Source organism: Homo sapiens, chromosome 15 (assembly GCF_000001405.40).
Source record: "Homo sapiens chromosome 15, GRCh38.p14 Primary Assembly".
NCBI lineage: Eukaryota > Metazoa > Chordata > Mammalia > Primates > Hominidae > Homo > Homo sapiens.
In genome coordinates, this window is record NC_000015.10 from 40,677,850 (window position 1) to 40,697,587 (window position 19,738).

Below are 19,738 nucleotides of genomic sequence, written 5' to 3' on the forward strand. Positions count from 1 at the left end.
GGTAATCTGCCCACCTTGGCCTCCCAAAGTGCTGGGATTACAAGCATGAGCCACTGCACCTGGCCCACATGATTTCTTTTTTCTCATCAACATTCTTTTCTTTCAGATTGAGGAGCGCCCTTTAGTATTTCTTGTAGGACAGGTCTGGTGTTGATGAAATCCCCCAGCTTTTGTTTGCCTGGGAAGGTCTTTCTTTCTTTTCAATGGAAACCTTACAAGCAAGGAAAGAATGGGATGACAAGGAACACTTTAAATATGTCATGCCATTCTCTCCTTGCCTGTAAGGTTTCCACTGAAAAGTCTGCCGCCAGACGTATTGGAGCTCCCTTGTGTGGTATTTTTTTTTTTTTTTTCTGTTGCCGCTTTTAGGGCCCTCTCTTTAACCTTGACCTTTGGGAGTTTGATTATTAGTAGTAGTCTTATTTGGGTTAAATCTGCTCGGTGTTCTATAACCTTCTTGTAGTTGAATATTGATTTTTTTTTCTAGGTTTGGAACGTTCTCTGATATTCTCTCTTCCTTTGAGTAAGTTTTCTTTTTCTTCTTTTTTTTTTTTTTTGAGACGGAGTCTCTGTTGCCCAGGCTGGAGTGCAGTGGCCCAATCTCGGCTCACTGCAAGCTCCGCCTCCCGGGTTCCCGCCATTCTCCTACCTCAGCCTCCCGAGTAGCTGGGACTACCGGCGCCCGCCACCACGCCCGGGTAATTTTTTGTATGTTTAGTAGAGACGGGGTTTCACCGTGTTAGTCAGGATGGTCTCAATCTCCTGACCTCGTGATCTGCCCGCCTCGGCTTCCCAAAGTGCTGGGATTACAGGCGTGAGCCACCGCACCCGGCCATATTTTTGTTTTCTTTTACATTTTTTAGATGGCTTATTCTGAAAAATTTTCTATCTTTATCTCTTTCTCTACCTCCTCTTTCAGGCCAATAACTCTTAGATTTTCCCCTTTTGAGGTTATTTTGTAGATCCTGTGTGCTTCATTTTTTATTCTTCTTTTGTCTTTTGTCTTGAATTTGAGTTTTCTCAAAACAGCTATTTTGAATTTTCTGTCTAAAAGGTCAGAGATATCTCTGTTCCTCCAGGATTGGCCCTTGGTGCCTTGTTTAGTTTGTTTGGTGAGGTCATATTTTTCTGAATGGAAATGATGCTTGTAGATATTTGTCAGTGTCTGGGCATTGAAGAGTTAGGTATTTATTGTAGTCTTCACAGTCTGGCTTTGGGACTTGGGCCCGAAGCCCAATGAGGCTGTGGTTTTTGCAGACTCAGAAGTACTGCCTTAGTAGTCTTGGCTAAGATCTGGAAAAATACTCTAGATTACCAGGCAGAGAATCTTGTTCTTCCCTTACTTCTCCCAAACAAATGAAGTCTCTTTCTCTCTCTGTCCTGAGCCACCTGTAGGTGGCAGTGTGGTGCTGCAAGCATCTGTGGCCTCACCACTGGGACTGCACTGGGTTAGACTTGAAGCCAGCACAGCGCCGAGTTTTTTTTTTTTTTTTGAGACAGAGTCTCGCTCTGTCGCCCAGGCTGGAGTGCAGTGGCGCAATCTCGGCTCACTGCAAGCTCCGCCTCCTGGGTTCATGCCATTCTGCTGCCTCAACCTCCCAAGTAGCTGGGACTACAGGCGCCCGCCACCTCGCCTGGACAATTTTTTGTATTTTTAGTAGAGACAGGGTTTCACCGTGTTAGCCAGGATGGTCTTGATTTCCTGACCTAGTGATCCGCCCACCTTGGCCTCCCAAAGTGCTAGGATTACAGGCATGAGCCATCGCGCCCCGCCTGATTTTTTTTTTTAATTTATTTTTATTTATTTATTTTTTTTTGAGATGGAGTCTCGCTCAGTCGCCCAGGGTGGAGTGCAGTGGCATGATCTTGGCTCATTGCAACCTCCGTTTCCCGGGTTCAAGCAATTCTCTGCCTCAGCTTCCTGAGTAGCTGGGATTACAGGCAACCGCCACCATGCTTAGCTAATTTGTTTGTATTTTTATTAGAGATGAGGTTTCACCATATTGGCCAGGCTGGTCTCGAACTCCTGACCTCAAGTGATCGGCCCGCCTTGGCCTCCCAAAGTGTTGGGATTACAGGCGTGAACCACCATGCCCGGTCAGCACTGGGTCTTGCCCAAGACCTTTCCCTTCAGGGCAGCGAGTTCCACCAGGTCCCAAGTGTGTCCAGAGATGTTGTCTGGGAGCCAGGGATTACAGTAAAAAATTTTAGCAGTTGCCCTGATGTTCTATTCTACACAGCTAAGCTAGCCCACCTCTAAGCCCAGCCTCACACTAGGAATTGCCTAGGAATTGCAGTCCTTGTGTCCTAGACTGCCTCTCAAGTTTATCTAGGACCCCAGAGAAACTCAAGTTGCAACCACTGAGATGGGCAATTTCCCTCTGGCTAGGGCTGGTCCAAATGTTTTTTGCATGCATGGGTGCTCAGCTCATGGCTTTATTCTCTTCTCTGACAGGGCAGCACTGAGTTCAATGTAAAGTACCCCAGTCACTGTGCAAAGTGCACAGATTCTCCCTACACCACATGGGTGCTGCCAGGGGATGGGGGAGGGGTGGCATTGGTGATTCAAGACTGCCCTCCTCAATGCCTTTTTAGTGATATGAAGTTAAAACCATGTACTATGATTGCTCAACTGATTTTTTGGTTCTTGTTATGGTGCTTTTCTGTGTGTCGATAATTATTAAAATGTGGTGTTCCAAAAGCAGGGACAGAGTGTAGCCTTCTGTTCTGCCATCTTGCTCTGCCTCTTCACTAATGAGTTTTGTACGTTCAGATGATTTCTTGCTCATCAACATTCTTTTCTTTCAGAATAAATATTCTTTAGGATTTCTCATAAGATAGGTCTGGTGTTGATAAAATCCCTCAGCTTTTGCTTGTCTAGGAAAGTCTTTATTTCTCCTTCATGTTTGGATATACTATCCTGGGATAAAAGTTTCTTTCTTCAGCACTTTGAATATGTCATACCATTCTTTCCTTGCTTGTAAGGTTTCCACTGATAAGTCTGCTGCCAGAAGTATTAGAGCTCCTTTGTATGTTATTTGTTACTTTTCTCTTGCTGCTTTTAGGACTCTTTCTTTATCTCCGACCTTTAGGAATTTCATTATTAAATGACTTGAGGTAGTCTTATTTGGGTTAAATTTGCTTGATGTTCTATAACCTTCTTGTACTTGAACATTGATAACTGTCTCTAAGTTTGAGAAATGCTCTGATATAATCCCTCTAAATAAACTTTCCACCCCTATTTATCTCTCTACCTCCCTTTTAAGGCCAGTAACTCTTAGACTTCCCCTTTTGAGGCTATTTTCTAGATTCTGTAGTGTGCTTCATTGGTTTTTACTCTTTTCTCTTTTGTCTCCTGTGACTGTGTTTGTTCGTTCCTTCCTTTCTTCCTTCCTTCCCTCCCTCCTTTCTCTTTTCTTTTTTTCTTTCCTTTCTTTCTTCCTCTTTTTTTTTATTCTTTTCTCTCTTTCTTTCTTCCTCTTTCTTTTTCTTTCTCTTCTTTTTTTGTCTCTCTGTCTTTCTCTTTCTTTCTTTCATCTTTTTTTTTTTTTTTTTTTTGAGACAAGAGTTTCACTCTTGTTGCCCAGGCTGGAGTGCAATGGCACCATCTTGGCTCACCACAACCTCTGCCTCCTGGGTTCAAGCAATTCTCCTGCCTCAGCCTCCTGAGTAGCTGAGATTACAGGCATTTGCCACCACGCCCGGCTAATTTTATATTTTTAGTAGAGACAGGATTTCTCCATGTTGGTCACGCTGGTCTTGAACTCCCGATCTCAGGTGATTTGCCCGCCTCCGCCTCCCAAAGTGCTGGGATTACAGGCATGAGCCACTGCGCCTGGACTTTTTTTTTTTTTTTTAAAGAGCCTCACTCTGTCACCCAGGCTGGAGTGCAATGGAACAAACTCGGCTCATTGCAACCTCTGCCTCCTGGGTTCAAGTCATTCTTGTGCCTCAGCCTCCTGAGTAGTTGGGACTACAGGTACATGCCACCATTTCCTGGCTAATTTTTGTACTTGTACTAGAAACGGGGTTTTGCCATGTTGGCCAGGCTGGTCTTGAACTCCTGACCTCAGGTGATCCGCCCACCTCAGCCTCCCAAAATGCTGGGATTATAGGCATGAACCACTGGGCCCGGCCTGACTGTGTATTTTCAAATAGCCTGTCTTCAAACTCACTAATTCTTTCTTCTGTTTGATCAATTCTGCTGTTAAAATACTCTGATGCGCTCTCGCTCTCCCTCTCCCTCTCCCCACGGTTTCCCTCTCCCTCTCTTTCCACGGTCTCCCTCTGATGCTGAGCCAAAGCTGGACTGTACTGCTGCCATCTCGGCTCACTGCAACCTCCCTGCCTGATTCTCCTGCCTCAGCCTGCCGAGTACCTGGGATTGCAGGCGCCGCCACGCCTGACTGGTTTTCGTATTTTTTTGGTGGAGAAGGGGTTTCGCTGTGTTGGCTGGGCTGGTCTCCAGCTCCTAACCGCGAGTGATCCGCCAGCCTCGGCCTCCCGAGGTGCCGGGATGGCAGACGGAGTTGCGTTCACTCAGTGCTCAATGGTGCCCAGGCTGGAGTGCAGTGGCGTGATCTCGGCTCGCTACAACCTCCACCTCCCAGCTGCCTGCCTTGGCCCCCCAAAGTGCCGAGATTGCAGCCTCTGCCCGGCCGCCACCCCGTCTGGGAAGTGAGGAGCGTCTCTGCCGGGCCACCCATCGTCTGGGATGTGAGGAGCCTCTCTGCCTGGCTGCCCAGTCTGGAAAGTGAGGAGCATCTCTGCCCGGCCGCCATCCCATCTAGGAAGTGAGGAGCATCTCTGCCAGGCCGCCCATCATCTGAGATGTGGGGAGCGCCTCTGCCCTGCCGCCCCGTCTGGGATGTGAGGAGCGTCTCTGCCCGGCCACCCCGTCTGAGAAGTGAGGAGACCCTCTGCCTGGCAACCGCCCCGTCTGAGAAGTGAGGAGCCCCTCAGCCCGGCAGCCACACCGTCTGAGAAGTGAGGAGCCCCTTTGCCCGGCAGCCACCCCGTCTGGGAAGTGAGGAGCGTCTCCGCCCGGCAGCCACCCCGTCCGGGAGGGAGGTGGGGGTCAGCCCCCCACCCGGCCAGCCGCCCCGTCCGGGAGGGAGGTGGGGGGGTCAGCCCCCCGCCCGGCCAGCCGCCCCGTCCGGGGGGTGAGGGGCGCCTCTGCCCGGCCGCCCCTACTGGGAAGTGAGGAGCCCCTCTGCCCGGCCAGCCGCCCCGTCCGGGAAGGAGGTGGGGGGGTCAGCCCCCCGCCCGGCCAGCCGCCCCGTCCGGGAGGTGAGGGGCGCCTCTGCCCGGCCGCCCCTACTGGGAAGAGAGGAGCCCCTCTGCCCGGCCAGCCGCCCCGTCCGGGAGGGAGGTGGGGGGGTCAGCCCCCCGCCCGGCCAGCCGCCCCGTCCGGGAGGGAGGTGGGGGGGTCAGCCCCCCGCCCGGCCAGCCGCCCCGTCCGGGAGGGAGGTGGGGTGGTCAGCCCCCCGCCCGGCCAGCCGCCCCGTCCGGGAGGGAGGTGGGGGGGTCAGCCCCCCGCCCGGCCAGCCGCCCCGTCCGGGAGGTGAGGGGCGCCTCTGCCCGGCCGCCCCTACTGGGAAGTGAGGAGCCCCTCTGCCCGGCCAGCCGCCCCGTCCGGGAGGGAGGTGGGGGGGTCGGCCCCCCGCCCGGCCAGCCGCCCCGTCCGGGAGGTCAGGGGCGCCTCTGCCCGGCCGCCCCTACTGGGAAGTGAGGAGCCCCTCTGCCCGGCCAGCCGCCCCGTCCGGGAGGGAGGTGGGGGGGTCGGCCCCCCGCCCGGCCAGCCGCCCCGTCCGGGAGGTGAGGGGCGCCTCTGCCCGGCCGCCCCTACTGGGAAGTGAGGAGCCCCTCTGCCCGGCCACCACCCCGTCTGGGAGGTGTACTCAACAGCTCATTGAGAACGGGCCATGATGACAATGGCAGTTTTGTGGAATAGAAAATGGGGAAAGGTGGAGAAAAGATTGAGAAATCGGATGGTTGCTGTGTCTGTGTAGGAAGAGGTAGACATGGGAGACTTTTCATTTTGTTCTGTACTAAGAAAAATTCTTCTGCCTTGGGATCCTGTTGATCTGTGACCTTGCCCCCAACCCTGTGCTCTCTGAAACATGTGCTGTGTCCACTCAGGGTTGAATGGATTAAGGGCGGTGCAAGATGTGCTTTGTTAAACAGATGCTTGAAGGCAGCATGCTCGTTAAGAGTCATCACCACTCCCTAATCTCAAGTACCCAGGGACACAAACACTGCGGAAGGCCGCAGGGTCCTCTGCCTAGGAAAACCAGAGACCTTTGTTCACTTGTTTATCTGCTGACCTTCCCTCCACTATTGTCCTGTGACCCTGCCAAATCCCCCTCTGCGAGAAACACCCAAGAATGATTAAAAAAAAAAAAAAAAAATACTCTGATGCATTCTTAAGTACATCAACTACATTTTTCAGCTCCAGTATTTCTGGTTGACTCTTAAATTATTTCAATTTCTTTGTTAAATGTATCTGATAGGATTCTGAATTCCTTCTCAGTGTTATCTTGAATTTTACTGAGCTTTCTCAAAAGAGCTATTTTGAATTCTCTGTCTAAAAAGTCATATATCTCTGTTTCTCCAGGATTAGTTCTTGGTGCCTTATTTAGTTTGTTTGGTGAGGTCATGTTTTCCTGGATGGAACTGATGTTTATGGATGTTTGTCAGTGTTTAGGCATTGAAGAGTTAGATATTTATTGTAGTCTTCACAGTCTGGGCTTGTTTGTACCTGTCCTTCTTGGGAAGGCTTTTCAAGTATTCTGAGGGACTTGTGTGTTATGATCTAAGTCTTTGATCACTGTAGCTGTATCTGTATTAAGGGGCACCCCAAGCTCAGTAATGCTGTGGCTCTTGCAGACTATTAGAGATACCAACTTGGTGGTCTTGGGTAAGATCTGGGAGAATTCCCTGGATTACCAGGCAGAGACTCTTGTTCTCTTCCCTCACTTTCCCCCAAACGTCTCTCCGTGCTGAGTTGCCGAGGTCTGGGGAAGGGGTGACACAATCACTGCTATGACCACCACTACTGAGACTGCACTGGGTCACCCAATGCCCATGGTGACCACTGCTTGGCTACTGCCTATGTTCACTTAAGGTCCAAGGGTGCTACAATCAGCAGGTGGTGAATCCAGCTAGTCTTATGTCCTTTCCTTCAAGGCAGTGAGTTCCCCTTGGCCTCGGGTGGGTCCAGAGATGCCATCAAGGAGCCAGGGCCTCAAGTCAGGAACCTTAGGACTCTACCTGGTACTGTATTGTACTGCAGCTAAGCTGGCACCTATGTTGTAAGATGAAGTTCTTCCCACTCTTCCCTCCTCTTTCCTCAAGTAGAAGAGTCTCTCCCCATGACCACTACTGCCTCAGTCCCAGGGCAAGTAGCCTGGCTACCACCAAAGTTCACTCAAGGCCCAAGCGCTCTTCAGTCAGGTCATGGTGAATGCTGCCATGCCTGGTTCTCTCCCTTTAGGGCAATGGATTCCCTTCTGGCCCAGAGCAGTTCCAGAAATGCTTTGCAGGAGGCAAGGCCTGGAAATGGGGACCCTGGAAGCCTGCTTGTTGCTCTACTACACTGTGACTGAGCTGGTACCCAAGGTGCAAGACAAAGTCCCCTTTATTCTTCCCTCTCCTTTCCTCAAGCAGGAGTCCCTACCCATAGCCACCACAGCTGGGAATGTGCTGGGTCACATCTGAAGCCAGCGTGGCTCTGAGTCTTACCCAAGGCCTGCCGTGAGTACTGCCTGACTATTCAGGTCCCAATGGCTCTTTAGTAAGCAAGTGATGAATCCTGCCAGGACTGGGTCCTTCTCTTCAAGGCAGCAGGCTCCCTTCTAGCCCAGGATGTGTCTAGAAATGTCATCCAGCAGCAAGGGCCTGGAATGAAGCCTCAGGACTTTGCCTGGTGCCCGATTCTATGGTAGTTGAGCTGGTATCCAAGATGCAAGACAAAGTTCTCTTTACTCTTCCCTCCTCTCCTCAATCAGGAGGAAGGAGTCTCTCCTAGAGCTGTGAGCTGCACTGCCTGGGGTTCTGGGAGGGGTGATGCAAGTACTCCCTTGGCCACCCCAGCTGGTATCTCACTAGGTTGTGTGCACCCCAAAGTCCGCTGGCTCTGAGCCTAGCATGGCACAAGGACTTGCCCAGGAATTGCGGTCCCTGTGGCCTGTCGGGGGAAATTCAGCCAGATATCAGGAGAAATTCACCCCCAATATTTCATGTAGGTTCTTTTCTATTTTCCCTAAGTGTTGGCCGGTTTGAGAAATAAAGGGACAGAGTACAAAAGAGAGAAATTTTAAAGCTGGGTGTCCAGGGCAGACATCACATGTTGGCAGGTTCTGTGATGCCCCCTGAGCCATAAAACCAGCAAATTTTTTATTAGTGATTTTCAAAAGGGGAGGGAGTGTACAAATAGGGTATGGGTCACAGAGATCCCATGCTTCACAAGGTAATAAGATATCACAAGGTAAATGGAGGCAGGGCGAGATCACAGGACCACAGGACTGGGGTGAAATTAAAATTGCTAATGAAGTTTCGGGCATGCATTGTCATTGATAACATCTTATCAGGAGACAGGGTTTGAGAGCAGACAACTGGTCTGACCAAAATTTATTAGGCAGGAATTTCCTCGTCCTAATAAGCCTGGGAGCACTCTGAGAAACTGGGGCTTATTTCATCCCCACAGCTGCGACCATAAAAGACAGCTGCCCTGAAGCAGCCATTTCAGAGGCCTACCCTCAGGGATGCATTCTCTTTCTCAGGGATGTTCCTTGCTGAGAAAAAGAATTCAGTGATATTTCTCCCATTTGCTTTTGAAAGAAGAGAAATATGGCTCTGTTCCGTCCAGCTCACCGGCAGTCAGAGTTTAAGGTTATCTCTCTTGTTCCGTGAACATCACTGTTATCCTGTTCTTTTTTCAAGGTGCCCAGATTTCATATTGTTCAAACACAAATGCTCTACAATTTGTGCAGTTAACACAATCATCACAGGGTCCTGAGGCGACATACATCCTCCTCAGTTTACGAAGATGACGGGATTAAGAGATTAAAGTAAAGACAGGCATAGGAAATCACAAGGGTATTGATTGGGGAACTAATAAATGTCCATGAAATCTTCACAATTTATGTTCTTCTGCCATGGCTTCAGCTGGTCCCTCCGGGGTCCCTGACTTCCCGCAACATCTCTCCCTTTCTTTTTATAATAAATGTGCCATGGCAATGAAGGCTTGTTCGTTCTCTTGATTTTGACGCAGGATTCTTTGACTAGTCTGGCAAACTAAAAACAAGCCGATTAAACAGAGAAACATAATTCCAAAATTTACTACAGTGGAGCCCCCAATAGACTTAATCCAAGTCCTGGGGTTTAATCCAGAAAGATTTTCTGCCACCTGATCTAACGCCTCAGCTCCAGGCACAATGGATAAGTGAGCTTGAGAGGCTTCAAAAATTTGTCTCTTTAATTTAGTTATGTCCAGTGATAAATTATCTTCCCTACCCAGAAGATGTCTTTTGACCATTTCCCATGAATGATCAGTCTCGTTATAGGAATACGGGGTGATGCAGAAATCTCAAGTGTTCCAATCGTACTGCATTTGCATGTGATGCTCGAGACTCACTACCTGATCTCCAAGCCAAATAACAGACTGTCTTAAATCACTAATTTGATTTGCCAATTTTCGATCGATGCCTTGTTGAGAATTCCACATTTGGATGGAATTGGCTTGCCAACCATTAACAAAATGAGCCGCTTGAATGGACTGGTGTAATGCCATTCCGGCAGTGGTGGCCACTGCAGTGACTGTAATTAGGCCCATGATAACAGCAATTAAAGTGAAAATAAATCTCTTAGATCTTTTTAGAATTCACTGTAACACTTCATTAATTAAATGTATTGAAGGGGAGGATTCCCAAGGTCTGGGCAAAGTTACCGGAATCCAGATTCCTTCTTGAGCTCGAACCAACATTACACTTTTCCTGGAATCAAAATGGGAGTTAATACAAGTGTATAAATGACAATTAATGCATTGGACAGTTTGATTGTTCATCCAAATTTTGATATATCTCACTAACAGCATGCAAGGAGGCTTAACAGAACTCTGTATGGAAACAGGTTGGAGGTAGGTAAAGCAGAATGTCTGGATCTACGTTGATACTGAGAGAGGGAGATGGTAGTGGGGACAACAGACAGAATAGTTTCTGCTTCCCATACTTGCAGTCCAGACATGGCAATAGCCAATTTCCAAAGTTCTGGGTGTTCTGGGTCAGAATGGGGAGTATCATATGAGGCCTCGGAGAGGGGGTAATGCCTTTATCTTCCCATTTTAAGGAAAAGAATGAGCTTAACCTCCGATGCAAAGTAGTATGATGATTCTCGTTCTCCTGATAAGAAATAAAATAAGTGCTGGGATTACAGGCATGAGCCACCACACCCAGCCCAAATGGTTGTAATTTTAAACATTACTTATAGAAATTCTAAAATCTGTCAAACAGATTTAATAAGAAATTTGCAGCAGGGAGCAGTGACTCTCACCTGTAATCCCAGTACTTTGGGAGGCTAAGACAGGTGGATCACTTGAAGTCAGGAGTTCAAGACCAGCCCGGACAACATGGCAAAACCTCATGTCTACTAAATGTACAAAAGTTAGCAAGACATGGTGGCAGGCATCTGTAATCCCAGCTACTTGGGAGGATAAGGCAGGAGGATTGCTTGAACCCAGGAGGTAGAGGTTGCAGTGAGCCAAGATCGCGCCACTGCACTCCAGCCTGGGTAACAAGAGGGAGACTTCATCTCAAAGAAAAAAATGAAATAAATAAAATTACAAACACTTGAACTTACAGTTGCACAAAACTGTTGAATTTTATGTGTTGCAAGAAGGCAGAGCAAGATGGCTTAATAGAATCCTCCAGCAGTCATCCCTCCGACAGAAATATCAAACTGAACAACTACATTAAAAAAGCACCTTCATAAGAACCAATAATCAGGTGAGTGATCGCAGTACCTGGTTTATTATCATATTAAGGAAACAGGCACTGAAGAGGGTAAGAAATAGTCTTGAATTGTCAACATCATCCCTCTTCATCCCCTGGCAGTGGCCAATTGGTGTAAAGAGAGAATGGGTGCTCCTGGGGGAGGAAGAATACAATGATTGTGAGACTCTGCATTTGAACTCAGTGCAGCCCTGGCACAGCAGAAAGCCACACAGGGCAGAACTCAGCCAGTAACCCAGAGGGAACATTAGATCAACCCTAGCCAGAGGGGAACTGTCCATTCCAGGAGCTGGAACCCGAGTTCTGGCAAGCCCCACAGGCTAAAGTGCTTTGGAGGCCTAGGTAAACTGAAAGGCAGTGTAGGCCACTGTTGCGAGAAGTCAGGGACCCCATACTTTCCATATAAACCTGCAGGAAAACCATGCCCTAAAAATTTTGAGGGCCCATCTAAAACTTTAATTTGGGAAGACTATGTTAACTCACATGCAGTAATATTAAAAAATGACTCATATGGTTTAGTAATAGACTGGGCGCCAAAGGGCTATTTAAAAAACAATTGCTCCTCTGGTGGAAGGGAATGCCTGGAGGCTACTTATTGAAAGTATGGGGTATGTCCCATTACTCCCCCTTTCATTTGTTTTAAAGGAGAAAGGGAGAGGCCAGAGACCAAATGTCCCGGTTCCTCTGTAGCTGATCTCTCGGGAAGATAAGCAGCCCAGACTTGAGTTTCTAGATGGATATAACCAGGTGCATTTCTGAGGCACAGAGGGTGTTATTTATAACCCATGATAACATTAAATGTAGTGCCTTCTTCTCCTGGTTGAGCAGGGCAACGGTCATCTGTAGCTCCAGGCATCCACAAACTATCGTTAATGTAGATTTCCGCAGGAGCATCAATCCAGGTGAGAGGTCGAATAAGTGGAGGAAAGGGCACATAAGCCCAATAAGAATAATTTTGTGTAGCAGGTAAATAAGTGTGAGAGGAAACTGGTGAGACAGAAAGTATAAGGAGGAGAATCATTAAGTAAAACCTAGTGTAAGCGAGATTCAGTGCTGAAGGAGGAAGAGAAGAACAGAGGGATGTTATTTTCAGGCTAATAGAAATGGTGAGATTTTTTAGGTCTGTAAGGAGAAAAAGAAAGGTAATTAGAAGTGGGATTAGTTAGATGGGTCTCCATTGCCATCAGGGAGGATCGAATCAGACCCATTGTGATTTGGTGTGCCTGCTTCTGAGTTAACAAATCCATCACCTCACGTACTTACCATTTTTTGTGGTGAAAACATTTAAAATCGATCATGTATATATGTTTAACACAGAGGTATTTTTCCCAAGGTTCGGCTGGGCTTAGTTTTCCTAGGAAAACTGGATTACGGTACTTGTAAGTTTAATGGATGTGAAATTGATTGAATTTTAAGAAATTATAGCAAACTATATTCAGTTGAACCTTGGGGAAATATACTTGTAGAAAGATGTTCATTTATTTACAATGCATGTCTGCTATTCCAGGACTCTCATTTTGTAAGCATACTAGAGGAGGTGAATTAGGAGCAGATTAGATCACTTGATACACATTACCTTATATATAAAGAATACATATATATGTATGTGTGTGTGTATGTATCTCTATATATATACATTTATATATATGTATTTATACTTTTTTTTTTTTTTTTTGAGACAAAGTTTCACTCTTTCGCCCAGACTGGAGTGCAGTGGTGCAAGGTGCAATCATAGCTCACTGTAACCTTGAACTCCTGGGCTCAAGCAATCTCCCCTCCTCAGCTTCCCAGACAGCTAGGACTACAAGTGTGCATCACCGCACCTGGCTAATTTTTAAAAAAAGGTTTTTTTTGGCCAGGCGCGGTGGCTCACGTCTGTAATCCCAGCACTTTGGGAGGCCGAGGCGGATCATGAGGTCTGGAGTTCGAGACCATCCTGGCCAACATGGTGAAACTCCATCTCTACTAAAAATACAAAAAATGAGCCGGGCGTGGTGGCATGTGCCTGTAGTCCCAGCTACTCGGGAGGCTGAGGCAGGAGTATCGCTTGAACCTGGGAGGCCGAGGTTGCAGTGAGCCCAGATCTCACCACTGCACTCCAGCCTGGCGACAGACCGAGACTCTATCTCAAAACAAAAACACAAAAAAAACAAAACAACATTTTTTTTTGTAGAGTTGGGGGGTCTCACTACATTGCCCAGACTAGTCTCTAACTCCTGGCCTCAAATGGTCCTCTCACCTCAGCCTCTCAATGCACTAGGATTACAAGTGTGAGCCACCACACTCCAAAATTTTTCAATTAACACATTTATAAATATTCTCAGAGAATGCCAATTTAACTATTAGAGGGAAATCTAGTTTGCCTTATTTCCAAGTTCTCAGTGGGTTGTTTTGGAAGAAAGGAACAGAAACTACTCAAACTAGTTTAATCAATAAAAATAGAAGGTAGAGTTATTGGAATGTAGGGATATCTCATAACTCAAGAGCATTAATCCTTAAGAGTTCAAGGTTTTTTTTTTAAAAAAAAAAAAAAAGTAAAAAAGAACCCAAGAGCAGGAGGAGTAAGTACTGCTAGGCTTCTGAGAAACTGGAAAGGCGATCTGGAAAGGAGTCAGAATTCAAATGGTTTATTTATCTTTGACTCTCTCCTTAGTATCTCAATTTCTTTTTCTTTTTCTTTTTTTTTTTTTTTTTGAGACAGAGTCTTGCTCTGTCATCCAGGCTGGAGTGCAGTGGCACGATCTCAGCTCACTGCAACCTCTGCCTCCCAGTTTCATGCGATTCTCCTGCCTTGGCCTCCTGCGTAGCTGGAGGCTAATGTTTGTATTTTTAGTAGAGATGGGGTTTCACCATGTTGGTCAGGCTGGTCTCGAACTCCTGACCTCAGGTGATGCGCCTGCCTCAGCCTCCGAAAGTGCTGGGATTACAGGCTTGAGCCACCACACCCGACATCAATTTCTTAATCTTTCTGCAGATGTGCTTTCTCTGATTGGACATTCACACACATCTATCTGTGTACTTTGCCCCATAAATTCCTGAGGTCAGACTTGAATATAAAGCCAAGTCTAATTTTCCAGGAGCAGGAAAATGATTGGCCAATTTGGGGCCAGATGAACACTGCTGGTACAACTGGTGGCCAGAAAGGTAAAAGTCATGTGACTACAGTCAGCTAGGAGGAGGGCTGTAGGTTTGCAGATGCTCTAAGGGTGTGGGAAGAACCGGAGGCAAAGGTGTGTAACTTTGATATGGAAGAAAGTTCACTATTATCACAGGTAGTATCTATAATCACTAAGTTAGGTTGTTTCTACATCCAGAAAGCTGCCTGAGTCTGTTCTCTCTGTCATTCCTCTAATTCAGAGGACCCCAACGCCCCAACACAGACCTGTCGCCTATTAGGAACTGGGCTGCACAGCAGGTGAGCAGCTAGCAAGCAAGCATTACTGCCTGAGCTCTGCCTCCTGTCAGATCAAGGAGAGCATTAGATTCTCACAGGAACTCAAAACCTATTTTGAACTGCACCTGTGAGGAATCTAGATTGCACACTCCTTATGGAAATCTAATTGATGATCTTGAGGTGCAACAGTTTCATTCCGAAACCATCCTCTGCCTCATGCCCACCCCCCGAGCCCTGTGGAAAATTGTCTTTCACAGAACAGCTCCCTGGTGCCAAAAAGGTAGAACTGGAATCTAATCCAAATCTTCATCTCTTTGTTGAAATATTGCAAGAACTTCCTTTTTGGTGTCTTCACTTTCACGCTCCTGAAATCTGTTCTTCAACGCCACAAGGTAATAGTGTGAGGATTAACTAAAAACTTTGTCAACTTTAAAGCACTCCACAAATATAAAGTAGTAATAAGGCCATTGCAATGGTTCACACCTGTAATTCCAACACTTTGGGAGGCCAAGGTGGGAGGATCACTTGAGGCCAGGAGTTCAAGGCCAACTTGAACAGAGCGAGATGCTGTCTCAAAAATAAAAAAATAAGGCCGGGTGCGGTGGTTCACACCTGTAATCCCAGCACTTTGGGAGGCCACGGTAGGTGGATCACCTGAGGTCAGGAGTTCGAGACCAGCCTGGCCAACATGGTGAAACCCTGTCTCTACTAAAAATACAAAAAATTAGCTGGGCGTGGTGGCAGGCGCCTGTAATCCCAGTTACTTGGGAGGCTGAGGCAGGAAGACTCGCTTGAATCTGGGAGGTGGGGTTGCAGTGAGCTGATACCACGTCCCTGCACTCCAGCCTGGGCAACAGAGCAAGACTCCATCTAAAATAAATAAATAAATAAATAAATAAAAATAAAAATAAATTGGTAAGTGGAGGGAAAATAGATCTAACCAAATGACTTGTCTTCTTAAAAACTTCAATGATTTCTTCAGTACCTAGAGACCAAAGCTCCTTACCTTTTTTTTTTTTTTTGAGACGGAGTCTTGCTCTGTTGCCCAGGCTGGAGTGCAGTGGCGTGATCTCGCTCACTGCAACCTCCACCTCCCGGGTTCAAGCACTTCTCTGCCTCAGCCTCCCAAAGAGCTGGGATTACAGGCATGCACCACCACGCCCGGCTAATTTTTGTAGTTTTAGTAGAGATGGGGTTTTGCCATCTTGGCCAGGCTGGTCTTGAACTCCTGACCTCGTGATCCGCCCACCTTGGCCTCCCAAAGTTCTGGGATTACAGGCTTGAGCCACCGCGCCTGGCCTCTCCTTACATGTTTTGTTGTTGTCGCTTGTCTTTTGAGACAAGGTCTCACTCTGTAGCCCAGGCTGGAGTGCAGTGGCCCATCATAGCTCACTGCAGCCTTGACGTCCTGAGCTCAAGCAGTCCTCCCACCTCAGCCTCCGGGATAGCTGAGACCACAGGCACAAGCCACCACGCCCAGCTTATTTTTTTTTTTTTTTTTTTTGAGATATGGGGTCCCACTATGTTGCCCAGGCTGGTCTCCAACTCCTGAGCTCAAGCGATCCTCCCCCACCTTGGCTTCCCAAAGTGCTGGGATTACAGGTGTGAGCCACCGTGCAGGCCTTATATGATCTTCATATCCTGAACTAAATGTAACCTTCCAGTTTCGGCACTTGCTCTGGCACTTTTCCTCCCTCGCCAGATAATACTAATCTTTAATCATGTAGTTCGTTTCCATGCCCATACTACCCTATTTGCTTATAATGTCTTCCACTTCGCCCAAGAATCCCTACTCAGCTAGCTTGTGGTGTTGTTTTGACACAGTCTCGCTCTGTCGCCCAGGCTGGAGTACAGCGGCGAGATCTCGGTTGGCTGCAACCTCCTCCTGAGTTCAAGCGATTCTCATGCCTCAGCCTTTCGAGTAGCTAGGATTACAGGCATGTGCCACAAAACCTGGCTAATTTTTGTATTTTTTACTAAAGACGAGGTTTCACCACGTTGGCCAGGTTTATCTCCAACCCCTGACCTCAGGTGATCCGCCTGCCTTGGCCTCCTAAACTGCTGGGATTACTGGCGTGAACCACCGCGCCCGGCCCTACTCAGCCTTTAAAACCGGAATCACGGGTCAAAACTTTCTGGTAAACCACGATACGGTTTAGGTTATGAAATTCAATGCCCCCTTCCTCTGAACTCCTGCAAATCTCCAGTAAAGCACCACAGATTGACGAATATTCCAGCCATTTCCCTCTCCCGTACGCTAGCTCCATTTCCCACTTCTATCCATCTTCTCGAGCTTCCTCAGCTCCTCCACCTCCATGAGGCCTGGAAAGCACCTTGCTCCAGGAATGCGAGTAGGAGGCTCAGAGCGACCAGAAGTGCCAAAAGCTGACATTCAGATACTGCCGAAACAAACCACAAGAGCGCTAGGGCCCCCGCTAATAGTCCAGCTGCGATGGTGAGAACTCGCGGACCCGCCGGCGATGCATGCCGGGAGATGTAGTCCCGGGCCGACGCATTACCTCTTGGGAGTCGTGGTCTTCGATCTGGTAAACAGAAGACGGCAACTCGGTTAAGTCTTCCCCCACCGCCCCCTGAAATCCCTCGCCCCACCCGCGAGGGACTGGGGTAGGAGTAGGGGCGTTGCCGTGGTTAGCCTCGAACTCCTAGGCTCAGACGATACTCTCGCCTCGGCCTCCCGAGCAGCTGGGACTACACGCGTGAGCCACCGCCCCCGGCATAAAGTTTGAATTAGTCCTTACGCAAAAAGGGAAGAGGGCAGTCTGTAAACTCGCGCAGGATCAAGCTCTCGAGCTCCCGTCTTGGGTTAGCGCGCAGGGCGGAAGCGGGGAGAAGGCGGATCCGGGAGGCGGGGATACGTTACGTCGACGCGGGCGTGACCCTGGGCGAGAGGGTTTGGCGGGAATTCTGAAAGCCGCTGGCGGACCGCGCGCAGCGGCCAGAGACCGAGCCCTAAGGAGAGTGCGGCGCTTCCCGAGGCGTGCAGCTGGGAACTGCAACTCATCTGGGTTGTGCGCAGAAGGCTGGGGCAAGCGAGTAGAGAAGTGGAGCGTAAGCCAGGGGCGTTGGGGGCCGTGCGGGTCGGGCGCGTGCCACGCCCGCGGGGTGAAGTCGGAGCGCGGGGCCTGCTGGAGAGAGGAGCGCTGCGGACCGAGGTGAGTGTGTGAGGCGCAGGCTGGGCCCTCCAGAGCCGCGGCTCGTCCTCGCCCACCTGCGTCCTGGCCGGTCCAGTGCTCAGCGGCAGTTGGGGCCTCCGCGCGCAGTGTGAAACCCGGACGTGGCAGGGCGTGTCCGCGCCCGACCGACCCTCAGCTGCTGGGGCGAAAACACAAGTGGACCTCAGTCTTTAGAACTAGGGGAGAAACATTAGAGCCTTTATAGGCAACACCTATTTTATGGGTTCGAGCGAGAAGTCCGAGATCAGAGCGGTGTAGCCACAGCTGTTTAATATCACAGCCAGGGCTTCCGGATTCCTGATCTGTCTTTCCATTACACCGTGCTTAGAAAGTACCAATCTCCGATTGCCAAAACAGTGTTTTCATCATCTAATGCGGAAAACCATTCACATGATGCCTAGAGAATGATCTGAAGTGAGGTTTGGTTTTCTTAAAACTTTTTTTTTGAGATGGAGTCTCGCTCTTCCGCCCAGGCTGGAGTGTAGTGGCGCGATCTCGGCTCACTGCAACCTCCGCCTCCCGGATTCAAGCGATTCTCCTACCTCAGCCTCCCGAGGAGCTGGGATTACAGGCCCCCACCACCACGCCGCCAGGCTGATTTTTGTATTTTTAGTAGAGACGGGGTTTCACCATGTTGGTCAGGCTGGTCTCGAACTTCTGACCTCAGGTTATCCACCCGCCTCTGCCTCCCAAAGTGCTGGGATTACAGCCGTGAGCCACAGCGCCTGGCCCCTGTTTTTTTGTTTGTTTGTTTGTTTTTAACTTCTAAAGCGCAATGTAATATACATGTAGAAAAATTCACATTCACAACTGTATACAACTCCGTGAATTATTACAAAATATACTGGCCGGGCGTCGTGTCTCACGTCTGTAGTCCCAGCACTTTGGGAAGTGGAGGCGGGAGGACGATTGAGCCCAAGAGTTCGAGAACAGCCTGGTCAAGATAGTGAGACCCGCATCTCTACAAATAGGAAAAATTAGCTAGGCATGGTGGCGTGCACCTGTAGGCCCAGCTATTCAGGAGGCTGAGAAGGGAGGATCTAGCCTGGGAGGTATAAGCTGCAGTGAGCTGTGATCAGGCCACTGCACTCCAACCTGGGCGATAGAGCAAGACAAAATGAATATACACCTATGTAATCACCACTTAATAGAATGGTCCTCAGAAGCCTTCCTGTGTAGTATTTAATATTTTCCCCTTTTTACAGTGGTAACTGCTATACTGGTTTCTAATGAGATGAACTAATGTTGCTTGTTTTTGAATTTTATATAAAAATACATCAGGAGTGTTGAGTGTTTCGTTGTTTCACATGCTTGCCAACACGATATTTTTCAGCCTTTTTGATTTTAACTATTCTGCTGGTTACACAGTAATGTCTTAATGTGATTTTAATTTTCCTGATTAATAATGATGTTGGACATCTGTTCATATGTTTTTGCCCATTTTGATATCTTCTGTGATGTGCTTGTTCAAATCTCTTGCCTATTTTTCTATTATCTTTTTCTTACTGATGTGAAGTTCTTTATATACTGGTTATCAGCCCTCAGTTATGTTTGTGCTAAATGTTTTCTCTACTGTGGTTTGACTTGTCACTCTCTTAGTGGTGTCCTTTGATGAATAGAAGTGCTGAATTTATTTTTTTATTATTTATTTATTTATTTATTTTTCCTTTTGAGACAGAGTTTGGCTCTTGTTGCCCAGGCTGGAGTGCAATGGCACAATCTTGGCTCACCGCAACCTCCGCCTCCCGGGTTCAAGCGATTCTCCTGCCTCAGCCTCCCGAGTAGCTGGGATTACAGGCATGTGCCACCACGCCCAGCTAATTTTGTATTTTTCTTTAATAGAGACAGGATTTCTCCATGTTGGTCAGGCTGGTCTTGAACTCCTGAACTTAGGTGATCTGCCCGCCTTGGCCTCCCAAAGTGCTGGGATTGCAGACGTGAGCCACAGTGCCCAGTAGAAGTGCTGAATTTAAATGTAGTTCAGTTTTCAGTCTTTTCCTTTTTGGCTAGTGCGTTATGCATCCAGTTTCAAGAAATCTTTTTCTGTCCCAAGGTTGTGAAAATAATAAGTGTTACTTTGTTTTTGACAGACGATTGTACATATTTATGAGATACAAGATGATATTTCTTTTTTTTTTTTT

General features: G+C 48.1%; 1 protein-coding gene and 1 long non-coding RNA gene across 10 annotated transcripts in view, besides 7 other annotated features; one reads left to right on the forward strand and one right to left on the reverse strand.

Moving 5' to 3' along the window:
- RAD51-AS1 (RAD51 antisense RNA 1) lies at positions 15,885 to 17,256 on the reverse strand. The gene is made up of 2 exons (NR_040058.1): positions 17,163 to 17,256; positions 15,885 to 16,946 (listed from the first exon to the last, which is right to left on the reverse strand). It is a non-coding gene; the product is annotated as an RAD51 antisense RNA 1 (long non-coding RNA).
- Positions 16,315 to 16,494: an enhancer, noted in NCBI's record as "active region_9256". NCBI's record gives its function as "activates an Ori minimal core promoter by ATAC-STARR-seq in GM12878 lymphoblastoid cells {active_cell/tissue: GM12878}" and the evidence as "EXISTENCE:reporter gene assay evidence [ECO:0000049][PMID:35858748]".
- Positions 16,315 to 17,004: a biological region, named in NCBI's record as "H3K27ac hESC enhancer GRCh37_chr15:40986424-40987021".
- Positions 16,377 to 16,974: an enhancer, noted in NCBI's record as "H3K27ac hESC enhancer chr15:40986424-40987021 (GRCh37/hg19 assembly coordinates)". NCBI's record gives its function as "activates a minimal SCP1, AML or CMV promoter by ChIP-STARR-seq in naive and primed H9 embryonic stem cells {active_cell/tissue: H9 hESC(naive and primed)}" and the evidence as "EXISTENCE:reporter gene assay evidence [ECO:0000049][PMID:30033119]".
- Positions 16,855 to 17,004: an enhancer, noted in NCBI's record as "active region_9257". NCBI's record gives its function as "activates an Ori minimal core promoter by ATAC-STARR-seq in GM12878 lymphoblastoid cells {active_cell/tissue: GM12878}" and the evidence as "EXISTENCE:reporter gene assay evidence [ECO:0000049][PMID:35858748]".
- RAD51 (RAD51 recombinase) overlaps positions 16,884 to 19,738 on the forward strand; it is a 37,608-nt gene continuing 34,753 nt past the window's right edge. For 3 of the 9 annotated variants that reach the window (NM_133487.4, NM_002875.5, NM_001164270.2), the window contains exon 1: positions 17,325 to 17,576. Coding sequence is in view for 2 of the 9 variants with exons in the window: in XM_011521857.3 (XP_011520159.2) it covers positions 16,884 to 16,971 (88 nt within the window). In the remaining 7 variants the exon portion in view is untranslated. The other 6 variants (XM_011521857.3, XM_011521861.3, NM_001164269.2 and 3 more) reach the window with 4 other exon arrangements.
- Positions 17,475 to 17,534: an enhancer, noted in NCBI's record as "active region_9258". NCBI's record gives its function as "activates an Ori minimal core promoter by ATAC-STARR-seq in GM12878 lymphoblastoid cells {active_cell/tissue: GM12878}" and the evidence as "EXISTENCE:reporter gene assay evidence [ECO:0000049][PMID:35858748]".
- Positions 17,572 to 18,169: an enhancer, noted in NCBI's record as "H3K27ac-H3K4me1 hESC enhancer chr15:40987619-40988216 (GRCh37/hg19 assembly coordinates)". NCBI's record gives its function as "activates a minimal SCP1, AML or CMV promoter by ChIP-STARR-seq in naive H9 embryonic stem cells {active_cell/tissue: H9 hESC(naive)}" and the evidence as "EXISTENCE:reporter gene assay evidence [ECO:0000049][PMID:30033119]".
- Positions 18,170 to 18,766: an enhancer, noted in NCBI's record as "H3K4me1 hESC enhancer chr15:40988217-40988813 (GRCh37/hg19 assembly coordinates)". NCBI's record gives its function as "activates a minimal SCP1, AML or CMV promoter by ChIP-STARR-seq in naive H9 embryonic stem cells {active_cell/tissue: H9 hESC(naive)}" and the evidence as "EXISTENCE:reporter gene assay evidence [ECO:0000049][PMID:30033119]".